Consider the following 21,827-nt stretch of genomic DNA (forward strand, 5'->3'; position numbering starts at 1 on the left):
AATGGAAACACTGACTCTGCTTTGTGGATCATCTACCCAAGTACGTTGCATCTACACAAGTATGTGGGCAATCAGTATTTCTTCTTTTCCTCCAAGCTCCACTTCTTTCCTTTCACCTGTTCTACCTCTACAGCAAAACACTAAGAAATCCTAATAGACTATTGCTTCTATAATACCCACAAGTTTTATGAGCTGACAAGCAAATTGTAGCTCAGATACCTCTATTACTTGGGCTTTTGTTTCCAGAAGTAGGAAAGCATTGTGATGGCTGGGTCTGTCTGCCTGGAAGCAAAGAAGAATGAAATAGGCTCATCCTATGTCTGAGTTCAAGAAGTAAGGTGGTATGAGATGGTTCCTTGTATGCAGAAGTCCAGTGACGTGCACAGCTCTGCCAATCACTATGGTGCACCTGGTTGCTGGCTGGCTTCCCATTCCCACTAAGACCAAGGCTTCTTCAGTCAAGCTTCAATCTGGTATTGCTTGCCCAAATTCTGGCATAGAAATATGTTTTTGTTTTTGTTTTTATTTCTAGGAAATAGAGAAAGCTTTTGCCCAATGATCCCTTAGCTTAACCTAGTTAATTCATTTTAAAATGAAACAGCAAATCACATGCTAAGGACAACAAATTATTTCAGCAACCAGGGTCTTAACTTGAAATGTTGCCAATGTCTTCCAGGGACAGTTATCATGCATTGAAGGGCATTTATTTGATGTAAAGCTTTTGTTACCTTGGTTCAACAGAAATATAGCCTGCTTGTTTGCAGCCAAAGGTTGGAAAGGTTGCAAATGCTTTCCGCCAATCAAAGGGGAAGAGGGCTCCTTGGATGGATCCTATCTTGGATATGAAGCCATTATCAATTTACAGATATAGCTTAAAGTGTGACACTATGCATTTGATCTGCTTCTACTAGGGGTAGATTATAATTTTTATGCTTATTAAATGATCTTGTTTAAAATGAACTGTGATCTTACCTATTAAATTCAATGGCCTTTTCTTCTAGAATCCAATTTAATGACTGAACCATTTTCAAGACTTTCCCTCCCCATCATCCTCAATGCTGAGTGCTTCACTCACAAACCATATCTTACAGAAGCATGCATGGGCTTTAAAAGATTACTACAGTTGGACCCAGACCACAGCCCTGGTATAAGATGACATTCAGTAAATACCTGCAAATTGACTAATAGATCAGTCTGGGAAGCTGGGCAACACAGACCTAATTGGCTCTGTAGAGACCTGAATGTTTTCATTGTTGACAGTTACCTTCATGGCCCAACTAGAGACCCTTTACATTAATGTTTCAATTCTGAAGTCAGGAATGTTCTACCATAACTAGACTGGTAATATTTTTCCACATAAAATAATTTTTCTGAACTTTAATTGCCATTTAAACTGTTCCATTCTGTATTTTTAAAAGTAAAATATAGCCACTACCACTTTCTTTAAAAGGAAGTGATTAAAATGTGGACACTGCAGTGAGAAGCAGAGTGCTAGAAATGGTGCTCGGTCCTTTGAAGTTGCCATTGTATACCACAGTGTTCACATCTATGTTCTGATGATGCAATGGACTGTACACGATTTTAGACTCTGCATTTCAGCTTTATGCAGCCTGTGCCTGGAAAGTAAAGAAGACACACAGTAGGGAGCCCTAGCTAGAGATGGAGCAAAAGGTACTTGGCTTGAGGCTGACTTAGAAGCAGCCTCCTCTGAATGAATTATGGTTCAGGGATTATAAGGCTGGGATCTCCTGTGTCTTGTTGAACAAAAAATATACACAAGTTCCTGATAGGGTATGTAGCCAGGCCTTGGCCCAAATGAGAGGAGCAGTGTTTCTCCAAAATTTAAATTTGTGGATGTGGGTTTTATTAACCAGAGATTTTACATGCTTGGGAGAACAGCTGGTCTGTGGAAGAGAGAGTAAGAAGCTGGATTTGAGGTGGGATTTCAGGATCCCAAGGAAATAGCCTCTTCCCCCTAAATATGTCACTTTTTTTAGTATAATCTAGAGTTTCAAGAAAATAGGGTGGAATGTTCATATGTTACTTGGAATGCCAATATCTCCAGGATAGGGAAACATACTGACCCAAGGCAACATGAAATAGTGAAGGACAGAGGACAGTGGGTCCTTCTCTGAGGTCAGGTTTAGGAGGCAGGAGAGTGGAAGACAAAGCAGGAAAGCTGAACACATCTAGATGAAGGGGTGGGGAGGGGCAAGGACAAAGGGAGTTTGGAGTCTCTAGTCTTTCCCAGAACCAGCTCTGCCTTCTATCACAGCTTTTCTACATTCAGCTTCATTTTCCACGCAGAGAACAAGGCTGAGATTCACCAGGATATCAGACTTAAGTGTGGTGTTTCTACATAGTGACATCTAATGCCTTGTGCTGAGAGTCTTTATAACTCAAACTGATCTCTCCATTACTACTTATTCAAGTCCTGTCCATCCTTCAGGGTTCAAGTCTGGCCACCCTCTTCAGCGTTTTCACTTACTTCATTAAGTGCATATCCATCTCAAGGTAATAGAACCAGGGACACTCAGAGTCAGAAGTGTCCATGCCCCATAGCCTACCCTCAGCTGTAGAAACAGTTCCAGGCTTTGATCTCACTCTTCTTTTAGACAGTCGGCTTTTTTTTTTTTCTTGTCAGCTACCCACAGTCACTGTGCAGACACCCATCCACCCTCCACACTCCACTTTGCCCAGCCTTTTTCAGAGCACTCACTTGATATGGTCCTTCCCTAGGACTTTGCTTTCATTTCAGCTCCCTTAACGCTGAAATATATCGTCCTGCAGGGTATTCAACACTCCGAGGCCCCTGTTAGTTGGGATAAGGGTCAACTAGAAAGAGACCTGAGAGATTTTCTGTAGCAGAGGGATGCCTGAATACTTTCCACAACATCTTCGATAAGTAGTCATTTGACCTTCCGTTTTGTTAAAAAGCCATCATGCATCTGTCATTCACTACTTTTCCAATCATTCCATTTTTTCTTTGTCTGAATTAGTAGGAAACTTAGAGTATGTTTCACATAACTGAGCACCAGATATGTGGGTCCTTGACCACTGCTTCTCTGTTTCACGGTTTTAGTCTTGCCTCTCTGCAAACTCCTCAATAGCAGGGGCCAGTAAACCCCACTCTTGGGAAATGCCTGATAACTACAGGGCCAAAGTCAAGTCATCCTATTAGGATAGACCTTCTTGGCCAAATATATTAAAAATAAGATTTTGGGGCCAGGCATGGTGGCTCACGCCTGTAATCCTAGCACTTCGGGAGGCCAAGGCAGGTGGATCACCTGAGGTCAGGAGTTCGAGACCAGCCTGGCCAACATGGCGAAACCCCATCTCTACTAAAAATACAAAAATTAGCTGGGCATGGTGGCACGTGCCTGTAGTCCCAGCTACATGGGAGGCTGAGGCAAGAGAATCACCTGAACTCAGGAGGCGGAGGTTGCAGTGAGATCACACCACTGCACTTCAGCCTGGGCAACAGAGCAAGACTGTCTCAAAAAAAAAAAAAGGGGGGAATAAAAGCAAGGGCTTAGAAAAGCAATGTATGAACTGAAACATAAAAAGTCAGACATGTAATTTAACAAACTATGAAATTTACTATTTTAAAATTAATACATATGAAGATTCTAATTACTGTCTAGAACATTGTTGAGTTTTAAAACAAAGCCACGTGTCACCATATAAAAGAATCACCATCCTTTTGATCCTCATCTACTACATCTTATTATTTGTTGTTAATTCACACACTAAAAGCTAATGAATCAGACTATAACTATCATTGAGCATTCCATATTATCATTATCCTGAAGATAAAAGAGCCTAGCTCAATGCCTTGTAATCAGCGCTCAGTAACTATCTATGTGATGAATAAATGGAGCAAATAGAACCACTGTGTCACATGTTAAAACCATGCACTCTCAGTAATGTGTGTACTAACCATCATCTCACCATCTGACCAGTCAGAAGGAAAATCAGCTGCTTTGACCATGTACTCAAGTCGAGCAACATCAAAGAGATTTGTTTCAGGTTTCTCATTATTCAGGACTGGTTCCAAGTACTTCCAGAAAGTTTTAAGCTCTTTTATGGCATTTTCTTTCTTCAATTTTTCTGCTTCTAGATCTAATAATAGCAACATGTTTATATTACCAAATGAGAGTGTTAAATGTTTTCCCACTTTAAGTGAACATGGTGAGTCATATGCATTGCAAGATATCTGTACAGTACCAGAAAATGTAAATAAAGGAATGTAATTTTGATAAATTTTTGAAGTCGGAGTATACAATTGTGAAATCAGAGAACTTTATTTCTGAGATTCATTTTAAATATGAACTTATCTCATGCCTTCATTTTATAGTTGAGGCCCAGGAAGATTATGACTACGTCACACATTTTGGGAGCTAAATATGTTCAAGATTTCCATCACTCTTAGATGACAATCTACATAGGACCAGTTTTTCTGCCATATCACTTTTTAAATCAACTTAGTGTCTGCTACATAACTGATTACAAATGCAGTTTATCTGGTTCTCCTTCTTATATTGCTGAAAACAGAGTGGATCAATGTTGTATGTTTCAGTTACCTTTTGGTCACATTAAATAGCAATAGGCTTCTCTGGGTATTTGTACTTTTACTGTAAAATAATGACAGATTTCCATAAAATTATGCTTAAAAATTTGCCCGAAATATTTATGCTTATTACATCTATAATTAAATAGTAGTTTCTACTACTAAGATCTCATTATTCTATTATAAAGTCTATTTTTTAATATTTTATTTTTATATATTAAATATTTTTACAGAGAGACTGTGTTTGGAGCTTATGCAGCATTTTCTCACTTCAATAATAAACCATTTAGTATTATAACTATCCTTTGAGATCATCAGGAATAGCCTAGGTTTGAACCTCAACTTTTTAACTTAATAGCTGCCTCTAGACTGAGAGTCCATTTTTGTAAAATGGAAACAATAAAACATACTTCCTAGGCTTGTTGTGAAAACCACATGAATCAATGTACTTAATGTCCTTAGCATTGAGCCTAGTCCCAAGACATGTGCCCAATATATGAGACCTATTAGTATTATCAAGGGTAGCTATTTCTAACTTTATAGAGCAGCAATTTAAAAATGTAGTGTTATAAAAATTGGGATGTGGCTGCATAAGATACAAAACACTGTGCAAATGATATTATTAATAAATAACAATAAAAGCAACAGCATATGGCAGAAAAAACTTGGGCATCTGGTAACACAATCTTACACCAAATTCTAGTTCTATTTCCTAAAGTATACAGTGGCTTTTTGCTTCCCTTCAACAGAAGTCATCTAGGATAATCTTCTTAGATGAAGACCTCAAGGCTCAAAATGGCTAAATGGTAGCATGATTGGAACTTCATCCCACAACTTGCTAGTCTAAGGCTAGGAAGATAGCACCCCAGTGATTTCTCATAATAAGACAATAGCAGAACAGGGCAAGAATCTAAGGCTGTGACCTCCCTTGGGCTACTTGAACTGTGACTTCTGCAAGAACAGATTATTAACAGTGATTCATCCAGCGCATCCTTTAGGTAAAACTTATAGATCAAATACTCCAGAAAAGGCAGTTGGATAACCAAGTCTTCTGAACTGCAGTCTGTTTTCTGTGGCTATAAATACAGGGTATGATACAGGGGATATAAATACAGGGTATGATTTTAATTTGCAAAATTTACAACACTTGGCTGGTGCAAGCAGAGTAAATGGCAAATCAAAGTCTTGAAAAGATTTAATAATGTACTAATTGTAAGACTATGTTTTGGACAGAAAATTATATTTGTACTTTAAGGACAGTGGGTAATATTGAAGGACTCAGTAAGTTGTGTAGCAGACTGCATACCTTCTGACTGAAGAAGAACTTCCTGCTGCTGGTTAACTGCTGCCAGGTGTGTCTGCAGAGGTTCATAATTCTCTGAAGATATTTTAATCACGCTGGTTATAGGAATGCCAAGCTCAGCCATAATTGCTAATAGCTGAGGATTGTTAAAGCCCACAACTATAATGTAATGTTGGGCACCATCATCTGGCTCATCGTCTGTTCAAAATACCATAAAGAAGAGCAGCCATCATTGTAAAAGAGAGCAGGTTGCACTCAGCCAGTTCAATGGCTATATACATTATGCATGCATTTATAATCCCTCTGGCTTGCCAAAAATGATCCAGTTGGCTGGAATGCAGTCATGTTGACTGTTTTTCATTATTGCCCTTCCAGTAAGACGGCTGTGACTATTTTACAAAATATTAAATCACTTTTGCAAATGCGACATAGGCGTAATAGAAGGACAAACCTATATGGGGCTTGTGGTCATATAAAATGTGTGCTTGGGTTTTTGTTAAGAGTTTAGCCTGTAACTTTTTTGGGTTCTAATCTCTTTTGAGCAACATCTGGCTTTACTCCTGAATTAGAAATAGCTACAGCTTTGTGGTATTTTATAAGTAGAGGTGTTTACAGGAGAGGGAAATAATGAATATGGACATGCTCCCTTAAAAAGTGTTGTATGCACTTATGTCAATGGGTGTGAATCCCGAGTATGGATTATGTAGTAACTATGTATTTATTGCATTAAAAATTTAAAATACATAGTGTGCACTTACTTTCCTAACATTTTTCTCCTTTATTTGGCCCTGGTTATACTATTTTATTAATATTAAGACATGATCTTATTTTAGAATGTGACATTCTGCAGGGTAAGAATAATTGTTATACTTTAATACTGATAGCACATGGTACAAAAAAGCACTACATTTCACAAAAGCCCATTAAGATCAATATATAAATAGTGCAACAGAGGCACAACTTTTCATTTTTAAGTTATGACTTTTCTTCTATCACTAAACTAATCAATGTTGATATTGCCCATGGACTTCATAATATCACTTCTTCCAAGTCTACTGGATTTAGAGCAGAGATGCATGAGGGGAGTCAACTGGTAAAGGATGGGAAAGCCCTCTGCTATCTCATTTAAATATGCAGATAACAACAGGTAGCTCATTTGCATTCAAGGGAAGGCAGGAATGAATTACTTACAGCTGCCTAGGATGAATCATTTTTATATTAAGAAACTAAAATGAAAGAAAAATTCTAGTGTCTCTATCCAGGGCAAAATGATTGTGGGGGAGTTGGGGTAGGAAACTATGTGCTCTATGTGAGTCACCAAATTAACTGATCTGATTTTATTACCACTGTGTTTCACTCATGACCATAATCACTTTTTATTTTGCTTTATAATTATGTCTGACTTTCCTATATGTGCCCAACAAGATAGTAAGCTCCTTGGCAGCACAGTCAACTGGCTATCTCAGCCTTTATTTGCACTGTGTAAATGTGCCTAGCAAGACACATGCTTAATAAATATTTGTTTAAGAGAGCCAGGTGTAGTGGCTCATGCCTGTAATCTCAGCACTGTGGGAGGCTGAGGAGGGAGAGTCACTTGAGCCCAGGTGTTCAAGGCCACTCTTGGCAACATAGAGAGATCCTGTCTCTACAAAATAAATTAATAAGTAAATAAGTTGGGCATGGTCATGTTCCTGTATTCCCAGCTACTGGGGAGGCTGAGGTGGAAGGATGGCTTGAGCCTGGGATTTTGAAGCTGTAGTATAAGCCATGATTGTGCCACTGCACTCTAGCCTGGGTGACAGAGGAAGACCCTGTCTCAAGAAAAATTTGCTTGCAGACACAAATGAATTGCAAATAGAAGTCTTTTTCTCTCAGGGTGTCATGGGAGTAAGTGATTTATGTTTCTAATGAGTGAAAAGGCTGGGAAAGACTAAGCATAGTTATTGGGATGACTGCTCCAATCGCATCACAGTTCATGAGGCAGGAAAATTCTAGTGTCTCTAGGGCAAAATGATTGTGGGGGAATTGGCGTCAGGAAACTATGCGCTCTATGTGAGTCACCAAATTAACTGGTCTCATTTTATTGCCACTGTGTTTCACTCGTGAAAGGCACCGCCGGCAGCAGCACCTTACTGACCAATGTAACGATTGGTGTGGTCGTCTTCTCCTCTCCGCTTTAACTGGGTGGTCTTTTTCACTGGTGCATTTGCCTCAGGCTGATCCTTTCCCTTTCCTTTGGCAGGCTTGGCACTTGGAGCCTTTTTCTCCTTGGGAGATTTTGCTTTCCCTTTATCCTTTTCTAACTTAGGTTTGTCTTCTATTACCTGGAATGAGAGAACACTTTTTTCTCCAAATCAAACAGTGAGCAAGCAATGGCTTTTCTACTGCCAGGTGAATTAATTCTTCATCTCATTCAATCACTTGTATACTCTTTATTTTTTAGGTATTCATTATATAAGTCAGCATAGTGGAGATTCCAGCTTGAGACTAAGTTGTGACAAGGCACATTTATGCATGAGGACTGGAGGAGTGGGTGCCAGAAAGCTGGTTACACAGAGACTTCTGGAAGAGAATCAGTCCTATGGGAGAGCCAAGTGTGGCCTAAGAAGCCACCCCAGTGGTTTGAAGGCAGGGCGGGAAGATAATTCTGAGTACATAATGGTGTCAGGAATTTAGGTTTATCTTTTAGTCTAGCCCTGGGGAGCCTCTGTCTGAGTCTCAGAGAGAGGTGGGGTTGGTTATTAAAAACAAAACAAGAATTAAAAATAAAAAGGAAAATAGATGTTTTGCTAAAATCTCCTTGATAAAGCATTTCATAGTACAAGTAATGTATTGACCAATTTTTAAATAAAGATTAAAAGATTATTTGGGGAACTTAGCATTAACTAAGTATTTTTATTATAATCCTACTGAAGAATGTGCAGACATAACCAATGGTTGCTATTTGATGCCTTCAAAGATGGGGTCAGAATAAAACATCAGTTGGCAAGATGAATTCCTTCCATGATGCTCTGGGGCATGCTTAGATTGGCATGTACCATGTAAACATTAATTCCGCCCCAACACCCCGCTTTTCTTTCTTTCCCAACAGTTGCCAAAAATGTTGTGCAGTACTTCATAATGTAATTACACTTTCAGTTCATGTGTTTATTAATACAAATTAGTTGTACTCACTGAAATGTTGTGGCAGTACTGAGAAGATATGTTGCTTTGACATCCAGCTAACAGAATGTAACGCAGAAGGGGAGAGGAGCACTTCCCCTACACTACTCCATGTGGCTTCTGGATGTTAAGGGCTCTTAGCTTTGGCACCCAGAGGGGCCCATGGCTTCTAGCACCTATGGCTCTAGTGGTGATGAAACTGCCACCCTTTGTACCTGCTCCTCAGCAGAAGGGGACATCATCAGCAGGGGCTTCAAGTGTCACTCACAGCCTGGGGTGGAGGCAGGTACAGACTATGAAATGGCCTCACCCATTTCTAGAAAGTGAAGAAAAATCCAACTGGCTAGAGCATATGTAAATGGTAAAATTAACTCCTTTGAAGAGCTAGGGGCGAAGAAGAAAATACATCCCTGGAGTGGAAGTGGAGGTCCAGGGAAACCGCTCCATGCCAGACAGAAAAAGGGGATTGGAAGGAAAAGAGGGCATTGCCAAAGTCAAGCTTGCCAGGCTTTACACACATCTCCCTTAGTCGATCCCCAATGACACAAATGCGGTAATCTTAACAATAGAATTTCAATGAGAATGGAAGTTCTGAAAATGTATGGGATGCTGGTATTCATCTATTCATTCATTCATTCAGTGAATATTTTTATGAGCTTCAGTTTCTGTCCCAGCCTTCCTCAGCAGCAGAGGGAAACATCAGTAAAGGCTGCAGGTATCACTCACAAACACTGGGTAGAGGCAGCAACGAGAGCACAGGTAAGGTACAGAAGAGTGAAAGGGTCCTAGCATTTCTCTCTGCACCAGGTATAAATTGGTGCCTAAAATGGGGCTCGGCTCTGCCCCTTGAGCTCACAGCCTATGGGGAAAGAAAGAGAAAAAGAAATACAAACAAACAGATAAAAATGTAACTATAAATTTTCGTGACTGCTATGAAGAATAAAACCCAGTGTCGTTATAGAAACACAATTGAGAACACTTTCATAAGTAGGTGATGAAGGACTCTCTGTGGAAGTGACATTTGAGCGAAGATCTCAAAGGCAAGAGTCATACACATGAGAAGCAGGGAAAATGTAGTGTGTGTGTGTGTGTGTGTGTGTGTGTGTGAAGATCCTAAGGCATAAGAGGCTGCGTGTGTTCCAAGAACTGAAAGGAGATGAGCCCAGCAGGGAAATTAGCAGTGGAGGTGCAGAGTAGCCCAAGATGAGGTGTGTGAGGCACAGCATGGGCCAGGCCATCCAGGGCTTTGGAGGTAGAAATAACAAGTTTATGTCTTAACTAAAATGCAATGGGAAGATTTTAAAGGGTTTTAAGTAGAGGAGCTCTATGATTTTGCAAGATTGGAAACCAGAAGACTAGTAAGGAAACTCTCGCAATAGTCCAGAGAAAACCCAATAGTGACTTAGATTAAAGTGTTGGCAGAGTGAAGAAAGATAGATTTGAGATGTATCTTGGATATTGAAACTTCATGGGTTGAAAGATTAGATATGAAGTCTGAATAAGAAGGTACATTAAGATAGTGCTGTGGATTTTAGTTTGAGCAACTGGGTGGTTGATGGTGTCACAGAGATAGAGAAGACTGGGTGATAAATGAGTTTTACTTAAGGTGGACAGAATATTAACAGTGTTATGTCAACTTTGAGATGCCTCTTGAGAGGTCAAGAAGGTAGTTCAATACACACATTCTCTCCCTAGAAGAGAAATTTGGCTAGAGTTACAAATGCAGGTGTGCATAACATACAAATAGTAGATAATCGCATGGGAAGAGATGAATCACCATGGGTGAAGTTTCTTGAGAAATATGAGAATTGAGTCCGAGATCATGCTAGAGACTCCAATGCTTACCAATGGGTATAGGGAGAGATGCCAGCAGAAAGAGACAGCGAAGTGGATAAAAAGATAGGGAAAAATATATAGTGTGAAGCTAGAGAACTAAGAAACCAAAAAGGTCAAAAAGACAAGAATTGGCAGTTGTAGGTAACATGAAGAAGAGCAATTATGGTGGAGTGTGGAGGTGGAAAATAGGAGGGCAGTATCAATAGAGAAACCACTTTTATGGACAACTGTTTCTGGAAGTTTGGTTGTGAAGCAGAACCAGAGCTCTGAGTTGTTCAGTGGGTGAGTGGATGCAAGGGGGTATGAGGTCAAGGTATGTATATATGTAAAGTCAAGAGATGTTATGCTTGCAGGCTGATGGAATGATCCAGTAGAGAAGGAGACAGTGAAGATACGGGGCTGAGGAGACTGAAGTTCTCTAGAAGTCAACATGGGATAAGAACAAAAGAATGTGCCAATGACTGGACCTTGATAGAAGGAGAGGGAATTTCTTAGTTTCATAACTAAGAACAACAGGAAGAGGCTGGGTGCCAGAAACAGAGACATCTTGATGGTGTTGAGAAAATGTTTCAATTTTTTCAAGTGAAGCATGAGGCAAAGTCATCAACTGAGAAAAGGCAGGAAAGAGGCAGGAGGTTTGAATAGGGAAGATGACGTAAGAGTTATCTTATGTCAGAGAGTGGGGGAGCAAGCTTACCGAGGTAATATGGTAGGACTCTGCCAGTGGTGAGAACTTATTGAAAATGTTGAGATTGTTAATTTTACATGAAATCAGTCTGTTTAATTGTGTGAATTCCTCCATTTATGTTTAGCTGCTCAGGAATAGAAATGAAAATGATGGATCACTGAGTTCATCCTGGGAGGGGTTTTGCGAAATGATTGTGATGGAAGGAGAGAAGAGCAAGGGGAATCAAGAGTAAGCAGAGAAACGATAATACTGATTGGATCATGGAACCTAAGCCAAACAAATAGCAGGAGAGGACAATGAATAGAAAGTGTTGGGATTTATGGACTGGGATTTATAATGTGGTTGAAGAAATTATGTAGGAGGATATTGGATTATGAGTAAGAGACAAGGATAGGAAATTTCCAAGGTTAGAGAACAGGACATCTCAAGACTTTGGAGGTGATGAGGGCTTCAGTGATGACAAGGTTCAAGGGAGGCAATGGCTGAGGTGGAGTGGAGGAAATAATCATTAGAGAACTAAGAGGCCAGTAAGAAGAGCATTACTCAGTAATAAAAAACATCAAAAAAGAAAAAAAAAGAAGAATCAGAGAAATCAGAGAGGCAGAGAATAACAGTGTTAATTCCAAATTGTCCAGGGCAGAGATTTCCTGATAGACAGATAGGAGGGTCTGGGTAACCTGGGAGTTACAGCCATGTGGTCAGGGGGCTGCATCAGGCCATCAGGACTGTAAACCTTTAAACTAACTCCCTAGTTAAGACTTGAGGTACTACATAAGTTTCTGACAGTTTGCCTTCCTATGTACAATTTGTCTACAGGGAGAAAACTTTCAGTTAATGCTGATGGGTCTGTCCCACAAAACTGACAGTAATATTTACTGTAGTAAATTAGCAAGGGGCTATTCTAATCATGGCTGTCATTGTCACTATTATTATCATCCTTATCATTATCAATATTACATTTCTATTTATTACATTCTTACTATAGTCCAAATATTCTATCTCGTCAAGTCTTCACAATAACTACAATAGGTAGAGCACCATCTTCATTTTACGGAGGAGAAAACTGAGTCTTAGTGAGGGCAAGTAGTTGTTCAAACTCAAAGCTAATATGTGGCAAAGCCAGGCCAGTCACCCATGCTCTTTTTTAATGGGTTTGTAAGGCACAAGTCAGTGCCCCTGAGTGCAGTTGGCCTGGAAGCACTGGTAAGACTCATGCAGGGCTCTCTAACAGCCAAGCTTTGGATCATAGCAAATTTACTAATTTGCAACACCCTGTGCAACATGTTGGTAGACAGCTGGCCTTGCTACAGAAAAGTTCCAATGTAGCCATCAAAAACATACCAGAAACTTTTACAACTGCAATTTTAAATAAAATCTCAGGGTGATCTTTTGATCTAAAAAGATGAAACCATTTTAGATTAAATTATTTTAAAGTTTACCTGGAAGAATAAACATTAATTCATTTATGCATTCATTCATTCATTTCATCATTTCACAGATACTCCTCCCCATCATGTGTTAGACAGTAAGAGGCCCTCTGGCCCTCCAGGTTCTCCTAGGTAGGGTGTGAGAGCCTGTGCAGCCACATAAGTCTCATCCCTTTGAAGCCATTTTAGCAAAGACTGGAGTTCTAGAAGCTCAGGAACTCTCTGGCCCTTTCTTCTATTTGGTTCTTGGGATTCTGGGATTCTGCAGAAAGGAGGGCGGACTACAACCAAACATTCAAAGGAAGTGCTAAATTCTAGTAGCAGAGTATAGTTTCCAGACATCATCATCTTTAATTTGATCTCACAAGGCAACCTGTAAGATGGGTAATTTTATCCCCATTTTATAAATTAATACAGAGTTTGTCCGAAGACACACAACTGTGGTAGAGAGTGCTGGTCTGACTTCAAACCCTAAACTCATTTTATTTCCATGATACTCTTGTCTGTCTTTGATGCTCTCCTGATTTCTCCATACCTGTCTGCCTCCCTCTACTCTGTCTTCCCAGGGGCTGAATCACACTTGCTTGATGCCCTTTTCTTTCTCCAGAGCACTCCACCCACCTCAGCCATTCATCCTGCTCACTTCCCTTTCTCTCTCTGCTCACTTCTCCTTTCTCTCCCATTCTTTTTGCCTTTGCATTCCTCTAGCAAGGCCAAACTTGGGAGACTGGAGAACAGTATATTTTAAACTAATTTCCATTAACATTAAAATTATCAATATTTACCTCCCCCACCTTCGCAAAAGTATTAAAAATGTTTAAAGTTTTTATAGATGAGTCTCACTCTGTGGCCCAGACTGGACTCAAACTCCTGGGCTCAAGAAATCCTCCTACCTCAGACTCCCGAGTAGCTGGGACAACAGCTGCATGCCACCATGCCCAGCTAAAAGTATTTTTAAAGAGGACCCTTATAAATCCTTATTTACTTCTGTAAATAACTTTTTCTTATAAAAATTATTACTAAAAATTTGGAAAAAAATATAAAGAGCTTACAAAAGCCACCACAATTCTACCACTTGGGGAAGATGAGTGAAGAAGATGTGCAATGCATTCTTTTGAATTAACTTTCTGCATCATTTTTACATAACTGTTATTGTTCTCTCTATATAACTTGGTGTCCTGCATTTTTCCATTTAACAGTGTTATATCTTCAGTTGGTAGAATATGTATTACTATGTAAAGAATTTCCTGGGTAAAGAAAGGATTCTCTGGTGCAGAGAAAATATATGTAGACAATAAAACTGAATGGAAGTACCTAGGTCTTCCTGGGTTCCGGATCCAGGTCGAGATGTCTTTGGTGGATTTTTGAACATGTTCTTTACCCTACCCAGTGCATTCTGCTCTCTCCCCATGGCTGACCATAATGGTGGTCTACTTATTCCTCTCCTGGATTCAGTCTATCCCTCACTCCTCCCATCCTTCATACTGAAGTTGAACCAGGACAGTCTCTTTGTCCCTTTAATTCTGGAGAGTGATTGACTGGTTGGCCCCTAGAATTCTACCTTGGTTTCAAAGTGAAATATCCTTTTGTACCAAGCCCCAATCATAGGAAAATCATTTCCTATCTTTCATTTCCTTTTTCTCACATTCTGAGTAAACCCTTCTCACTTATGGGTTTATGTCTTGAAATCTGGGAGTGGGAATGGAGTTAACCAGATCAGGCGCATTCAGCAAAGCTGACCCCCTAAGTTATAAACTCAAGTTAGTTCATACAAACTCTTTCTCTGGCCTTTCTTGCTTCTGGATAACATGGCATGCATGTTCCCATACTAAGGTCATTAGCTCACAACTTTAAAAATTCAGAGGGAACTCTTGTCAATTCAAGGCAAATTTTAGGAGGGGCATATCCAAAAAGTGCCTCTCTCCACGATGTTTGAGGAACACATGTTCCCCAGCATATGAAGGAAGAGTCAAGTTTGCCACAGATTACTTTTTTTTTTTTTTAATGCAGTATGTGCAGAAAGCATCTAGATGCCTCCTACTGTGAGACGGCTTTGGATAGGCACAGAGATTTCTTAACCGGTTAAGTTACATAGCATATGTGAGATTCTTGTCTCAGCAATAACCAAAAAAAGTGTTGGCATTTCACATATTCAGTTGAATATAAAGTGACACCTATCTAGAACACTTAATCTTAAGTTATTCTCACTTTTTAAAGGGAAAAATAAAAAATTCTCCTTCTCTATAATAGGGCAACCTAGTTATTGGATGCTTCAAAATATTTTAGATCATATTTTATTTCTAAATGACTTCTTGATGTCAAAATTCAAATATAATTAATAAGTATTCATTCTCCTAATTCCTTACAATGAAAGGAAGATAAATGGTAAATGTCAGTGAAACTGATGATATATATCTATACTTCATCTTATTCTTTTTTTTTTTTGAGACGGAGTCTTGTTCTGTTGTCAGACTGGAGTGCAGTGGCGCGATGTCAGCTCACTGCAACCTCCGCCTGCCAGATTCAAGCGATTCTCCTGCCTAATGTAGGCTGGGTGTGGTAGCTCACACCTGCAATTCCAGAACTTTGGGAGGCTGAGGTGGGTGGATCACCTGAGGTCAGGAGTTTGAGACCAGCTTGGCCAACATGGCGATATCCCATCTTTACTAAAAAAAAAAAAAAAAAAAATTAGCCGGGTGTTGTGGCACGCGTGCCTGTATTCCCAGCTACTTGGGAGTCTGAGGCAGGAGAATCACTTGAACCTGGGAGGCAGAGGTTGCAGTGAGCCGAGATCGTGCCACTGTACTCCAGCCTGGGCAACAGAGTGAAACTCTGTCTCAAAATAATAATAATAATAATAATAATAATAATAATGCATATACATATTCATGTATAACAATGTTTCATATAAAATTTATAATAAGATCCTCAGAATAGTATTGTTGAGGATATAGATAAGAAAACATACTCACAGAGTTTGTAACTAATTCACTCTATTATGTAGTTTATGAGAAACTGGGTTTTCTGAGTGTTCCTCTAGTTCTCTTTCAAGATATCACCCTATCTCATAAACAAGCTATCATAGGGGACAAGAGATAGGCTAAACAAAGGTATAAGATCACATAAATTTGAGAGACCGTAGGTTAAACAATATTAAATATAGTGGTTTTCACAAAACTCCTTCATCTTTAATTAGCTATTATGTTCTTAAATATCTTCAAGAGTTGTATCTAATACACAGTGATTTCCATGCTCATTTGACCAGGAGCCATTTTTTCTTTTTTAAATGGAGAACTAGGTCTAAGTGGCCATAGGGCTCACTTTGAACATACAAGGTTATGGGAACATTTTTAAACATTAATCCAATTTAATAAATCTATGCTAAGAATATTATCCAAAATATGGAGACTTCTATACTGCAAAGTACATGGTTTATTATGAAAAGAAATTGAAATAACTTAAATGCTCAATGATAGAGAAATGGTTAAGAAAATTATGATAGTCAATAAAACATCACAAAACCAGTAATAATGATAGAGTGGACACTGTGATAATGAGTAGAAATTATAATCTATCTTAACTGAAAAAGGGGTGCATTTTTACAATGATTACAGCTGCGTAAAGAAGCAAATCCCAGAAAAAAACAGAAAGAAAAATGCCAAAATCTTAACATTAATTATAATAGGGTTACACATTGCAAATGTTTTGCTTTTCTTTCTCTGTATTTTCTATGTAGTCTATGAAAGACTTTAGTACTAGATCAGCCAATGCTATCCTACCTTACCATGCAGAAGGACATTAGGAATAATCTCTGGATGTCCAGTTTTAAGAGATTCCCCCAGAGACTGAGCCATTTCTGCGTGGGGGGCAGGACTGGAAATTAAGTCAGGATTTCCTTTGGAATCAGTGGCTGGTTAGCTCAGGGCATTCCTCCTTGGTGAGTTTTGTTCCTTCCCTTGACCACTGTCCCCCTATTTAACCTGAGGATGTTAAATGCAATGTAATTAATGGAACCAGATGGTTGTGAGTACATCACTGAGCACAGCCATTGGTCCTACAGGGAAATGTCTCTGGGCAAGCACTCTACTGATTGTGAGCCAAGAGTGCCATTTCATAATTATTGAGACACACTTAGGAAGGATATGTATGGGGGTTAAGAGCATGGTCTTTGGAGTCTGACAGTTCTGGATTTGAATCCCAGCTCTTCCACTGAGAGTAGCTGTTTGGCCTTGGGAAAATTCCTTAACTTTTCATACCCTCAGTTTCCCCATCTGCAAACTCAGAATAATACTCTGTACCTCATAAAGTCATTTAAAAGATTAAATGATATAACATGTGCAAAGGGCTTAGTTCTGTGCCAAATAGTCAATAATGATAGCTAACTATAATTATTAGCTGCTATAATCATAGCTTTTCCATATTTTAAAGTACTACTGTATGTTAAAGATGTATGTTTCTTTGCATTTTTCCTGAAGTCTGTAAAAAGTTTTCATTAATTAAAAGCAAGCCAATTAGGAAAGGACTACTCTATTTTATGGATAAGCCATCTGGGGGGGTCATTTATTATTTCTCCTGAATTGTTGGCTTTTGAAGCTCATTAGATTCAACATCCATTTTAGTGGGATCCTCATTTCGATAATCCACCCTCAAAGAATTCCATCCAGTTAGTGAGGCAAGTTATTCCTTTCCTGAAACCACACGGGTCCTTCTAAACTGAGTTCCTGCTCTTTCTCTGTTCGATTTCTTAAAATAGTTTCTGAAGATTTTAACCACAACTGAATCAAAACTAACCAGCCTGTAATTTCCTGGTATGTCCGTATGGCTTTTCTTTTAAAACAACACACACACACACACACACACACACACACACACACACAAATGGCATTACCTTGGCTGGTTTCCAGTGTTTCGGAGTTTGGACTGGAGGAAGCTGGAAGGTGTCTGTGAAAACTACTCTCATTTCTCTTTGTCTCTCTTTTGGAGGAGGCTCTGGGTTGCTTGTGGCTTCATCATGATGTATTATCAAACGTAGGCACTTTTAATTTTGAATTGTTTTAAGAATAGTTTACCAGTATTACAAAAAGTTACCCTAGTTCTTTACCGCCTATCTTCCTTCTCTTCAATTATAGTATATCAGGAAATAGGGCAATTTGTACCATGCATATGAGCTAGCAAAAGAAAGAACTAATTTTTTATAGAAAAGATATGCTTTCTAAAAACATCTAAGGAAATATGGACGACTTATTTGAATTCATAAATTAAAAGCACAGTTGGAATATATTTGGATCTTCTCCCAAAACCTGTACAAACATTCTGAACTAAACACAAAGGAACCTAAGACTAGATTTTATTTGGCCAATTATTTAAATAGTTAATGACTTTTTGTATCGAAGCTTTTTTTTCATTTTTTTAATTATCAAGTGTTTTCTTTTAGTTGAATTCTCAATATAATAAAATATTTGGGTTCAAAATTGTCTTGACTTTAAATGTGTTCATAATTAATATATAATACAAAAGTTGAAGTTAAAAAGAAACAAAAATGTGAGTAGATATATAATATTCAGATAATGACTAAATTAAAATGGATCAGAATGGAAACCAAACAATTTATTTTAAAATTATAAGGAACATGATGAGAATATATTTGTTCAGTACATTGCTTTTGTAAATGTTTCTTTCAGTAAATGTTTGTTGAATTGATAAATTATTAACAGATAGAAATAAAAATGCAAAAGCAAATGTTGCGATAAGGATGTAAGAAAATATATTTCTAAACAAAACACTTTAAGTTTTAAGATATAATAAAATCAAACTAATTTAGAATTATTGTGTGAGAAAGTCGTATTCAGAAGTTCTAAAATACTAAAATATATTTATGGAAATACAGTGCATTTTCTTCATGATATTTATATTTGGAGTTCATCAACAAGGTATTTTCAAATAAATAAATGTTTTCGGATAGATTTAAGTTATTTGCAATTAGAGGCCGGCATTTGTATCCCAGAAATTTACATGCTGAAGGCATTAACACTGTTCATTTTAGAAATATCTTTCTTGTATTTCTTATAATATGAATTACCCAGCAAGCTTTCTTGCAAAGCAGAAAGCAAAAGCAATGTTAACCATAGCCCAGTTTAAAATGTTATTAAAAGTAGTGGAGTTGAAAATAATGATATTTCTTCACTGTATTTGGCAATTAAAACTATATTATTTATCTTTTTTTAAAAAGTTTTGATTGATTAAAACAGGATCAAATATGTAGTGATACCTTAAAACATTAGAACAGGTACCTAGCTATATTACTTATTTTTGCCCTCACTTTCACCCAAGATTTTCTATAATTTCTATTATGGATATTTTTCAAGCACTGATTCTTAAAAATACAATTTCAAAAATTAAACATAGAAGATACAAAACACTCTGGGTTGTACAGAGGTAAGCAATTAATTAACATTTGAAAGACAACATCTACACAGATATGTTGATGTTAAAAAGTTGAGGAGTCAGTCACTAACCTTGTAGAAATTTCGGAATCTCACTGTGGGTTCAGGAAAGATGAAAAGATTAGCTAAAGTCCTCTTTTCTTTTTTTCATATTCTAATCCACAGCATGGTGTCAGTTTTACATACTTTCTGCTTGTTTTCTTTATTGCCAAACTCCTTGGCTGACAAGCATTAACCTTGATTGTTTCAACTGACCTCTTAGGCAGTGTGGTTGAAATGAACATCAATGATATCATCCCACAAACAACTGCCTTCATCTCCCCTTTACCAAGAGTATTTTCCCGATTGTATTCCATTCCAATGAGTTTTCATCAATTTATTTAGCACTTACTCATATGGTTGTGACTCAGAGATTTGGGGTTGGTGCTTTGGGAACCCAAAATAATGGAGATGTCATATTAGATTATGTAATCATTGGCTCTTAATTGCTCAAAAGTTCTCTCACTGTATCTAATACTTAAAAGAAAATAAAAACTCTAAGGTTCATGCCCCAGTTACCCAGGACTCTCAAATTTTCAACAGATAAAGATTATTTCCATACCTTTAGAACCTCTTAATTGTATTATTAGAGTTCACATTTCAAAGAAATGCTGAGTAAAATAATGGTGCAAAAATATTTTTATATTGTTGCAAGCTTTAAAAACGTTTTCCAAGCTACTAGAATATTTTATTTGCTTTTACTTAAAATTTGTTAAAGGAAATCTACAGTCTACTCCTATGATAAACAATTAGTGACATAATAAGTGGTAAACAAGTAAATTGACGCTCTTTAGCACACTATTTCTAACTGCTGTGGGAAAGGGCGAAGCAAACAGAAAGTGCAGAAATTTTTGCAAGAATTACAGTCTACTTTTTATAATTCAGATTCCCATATGGCATTGGAATTTAAACAGGCAAGAGATGTTTCTATACTAGTTTCAAATTTTCCAATTTTTCTTCTGTCAAGTCTTAATTACCCTGAGTATTTCTTAAGGTACAACTCCCCCAACACGATGGAAAGAGTTTCACTAGATGGAAAACTGTACTATCAATTATGTTAATATGAATAGAATTTTTCTAGGCACAATATGTACCACACTAATAACATGCTATATGGGAAATATCTCTAAAAAACATAAAGCCCTATATTGAAAATGGAAGGTGGCATTATTATTTTTTTCTACAATTACCTTGTTGAGGGGCCAATTCAAATAGGAAACCTAGATTTTGGGGGTCTTGCAAAGGTGAAGAAGGCACTATTGGAGCATTTTCACTTTTCTGTTTTTTCTTCCGTGAATTGATTTTGCCTTTTCCACTTAAGGCATAAAGAAATGACTTCATATGCAAATCCATTTCATACATACACATGCACACACAAACATTACATATGTATATACTGAAGTATTTGGCTTTCCAAACATAATTCAGCATGATTTGGAAAATAAGAAAAACATCTTATTTTGGGTTATGATGGTAGCACATGGATGTGAACCTGGTAGTAGTTTGCTAACAGCATTTTAAAATATTTTTCATATGCAAATATGAGTCTTTGGAAAGCACACAGATTGATTTCTATAAGCAAATTAAATGAAAAATCCAGGTATGAAGAAATTATCAGATGTGCAATATAGGAGTAGAAGTGATGGATTGCTGCTGAAATATTCAGATTATTATGAAGGTGCAGATATGCCTATTATTTTAAAAGGCACTTCTATAGAGTATCATATAAACTATCTTAAATAGTTAGACCCGAACTGTGAGGGTTCCCCCCAACTGTCCTTTTCATATTTAGTTTTCCCGACTCCCTGTCTCTTCCTTGGGTCCCTTCTTGGCTACAACTTTATTATATAAATATACTGCCATAGAAACAATCCTGGGCACATGCTTTGAATATTGTTACTTTCATATTTTACGGAACCTATTTTTAATGGGTTTATCATAATTCCTCCAGATCTTTGGACAGCCTTTCCCTAAGAAGTTGAGGTGACAGCCAAATTTGCCAGGTAACACTTAATGGTAGGCTTAAGAAGAGAGGAAGTGCCCCTGGAGAAACCTGGCTCCATTTCATTCACCACTTGCCCTCTTTAGAAAACCCACCAGATCGTACAGTACCTTCTTTTCATTTTCCCGTCGCTGTTGGTCCTTAAATTTAATCTGGAGAAGTTGAAATTTCAAGAGTTTCCCTATCAGTGGTAAGGTTAATTTCTCTCCACTATCCATAATTGCTTTTGCTGCCGTTAACACCTATACAGAAACACAATTATTAGAAAAAGTGATGTTTTATAACCTTTGGCACAGTCTGTCAGTGATGAAAAGATGAAAGGAAATTTTATATTATTTGTCATACTGGAAAGATACT

The 21,827-nt window shown here is 37.8% G+C and overlaps 1 protein-coding gene across 7 annotated transcripts in view; it reads right to left on the bottom strand.

Annotated features, from left to right (window-relative positions):
• Nucleotides 1–21,827, bottom strand: part of SPAG17 (sperm associated antigen 17) — a 231,639-nt gene that overhangs the window by 140,140 nt on the left and 69,672 nt on the right. For 6 of the 7 annotated variants that reach the window (XR_946574.2, XM_006710426.4, XM_011540934.2 and 3 more), the window contains 4 exons: nucleotides 21,581–21,712; nucleotides 8,011–8,197; nucleotides 5,877–6,071; nucleotides 3,941–4,122 (listed from right to left, as the gene is read on the bottom strand). Coding sequence is in view for 6 of the 7 variants with exons in the window: in XM_006710426.4 (XP_006710489.1) it covers nucleotides 3,941–4,122; nucleotides 5,877–6,071; nucleotides 8,011–8,197; nucleotides 21,581–21,712 (696 nt within the window). In the remaining variant the exon portion in view is untranslated. The remainder of the gene's footprint in view (nucleotides 1–3,940; nucleotides 4,123–5,876; nucleotides 6,072–8,010; nucleotides 8,198–21,580; nucleotides 21,713–21,827) is intronic. The other variant, XM_006710427.4, reaches the window with a different exon arrangement.

This window comes from Homo sapiens, chromosome 1 (assembly GCF_000001405.40).
Source record: "Homo sapiens chromosome 1, GRCh38.p14 Primary Assembly".
NCBI lineage: Eukaryota > Metazoa > Chordata > Mammalia > Primates > Hominidae > Homo > Homo sapiens.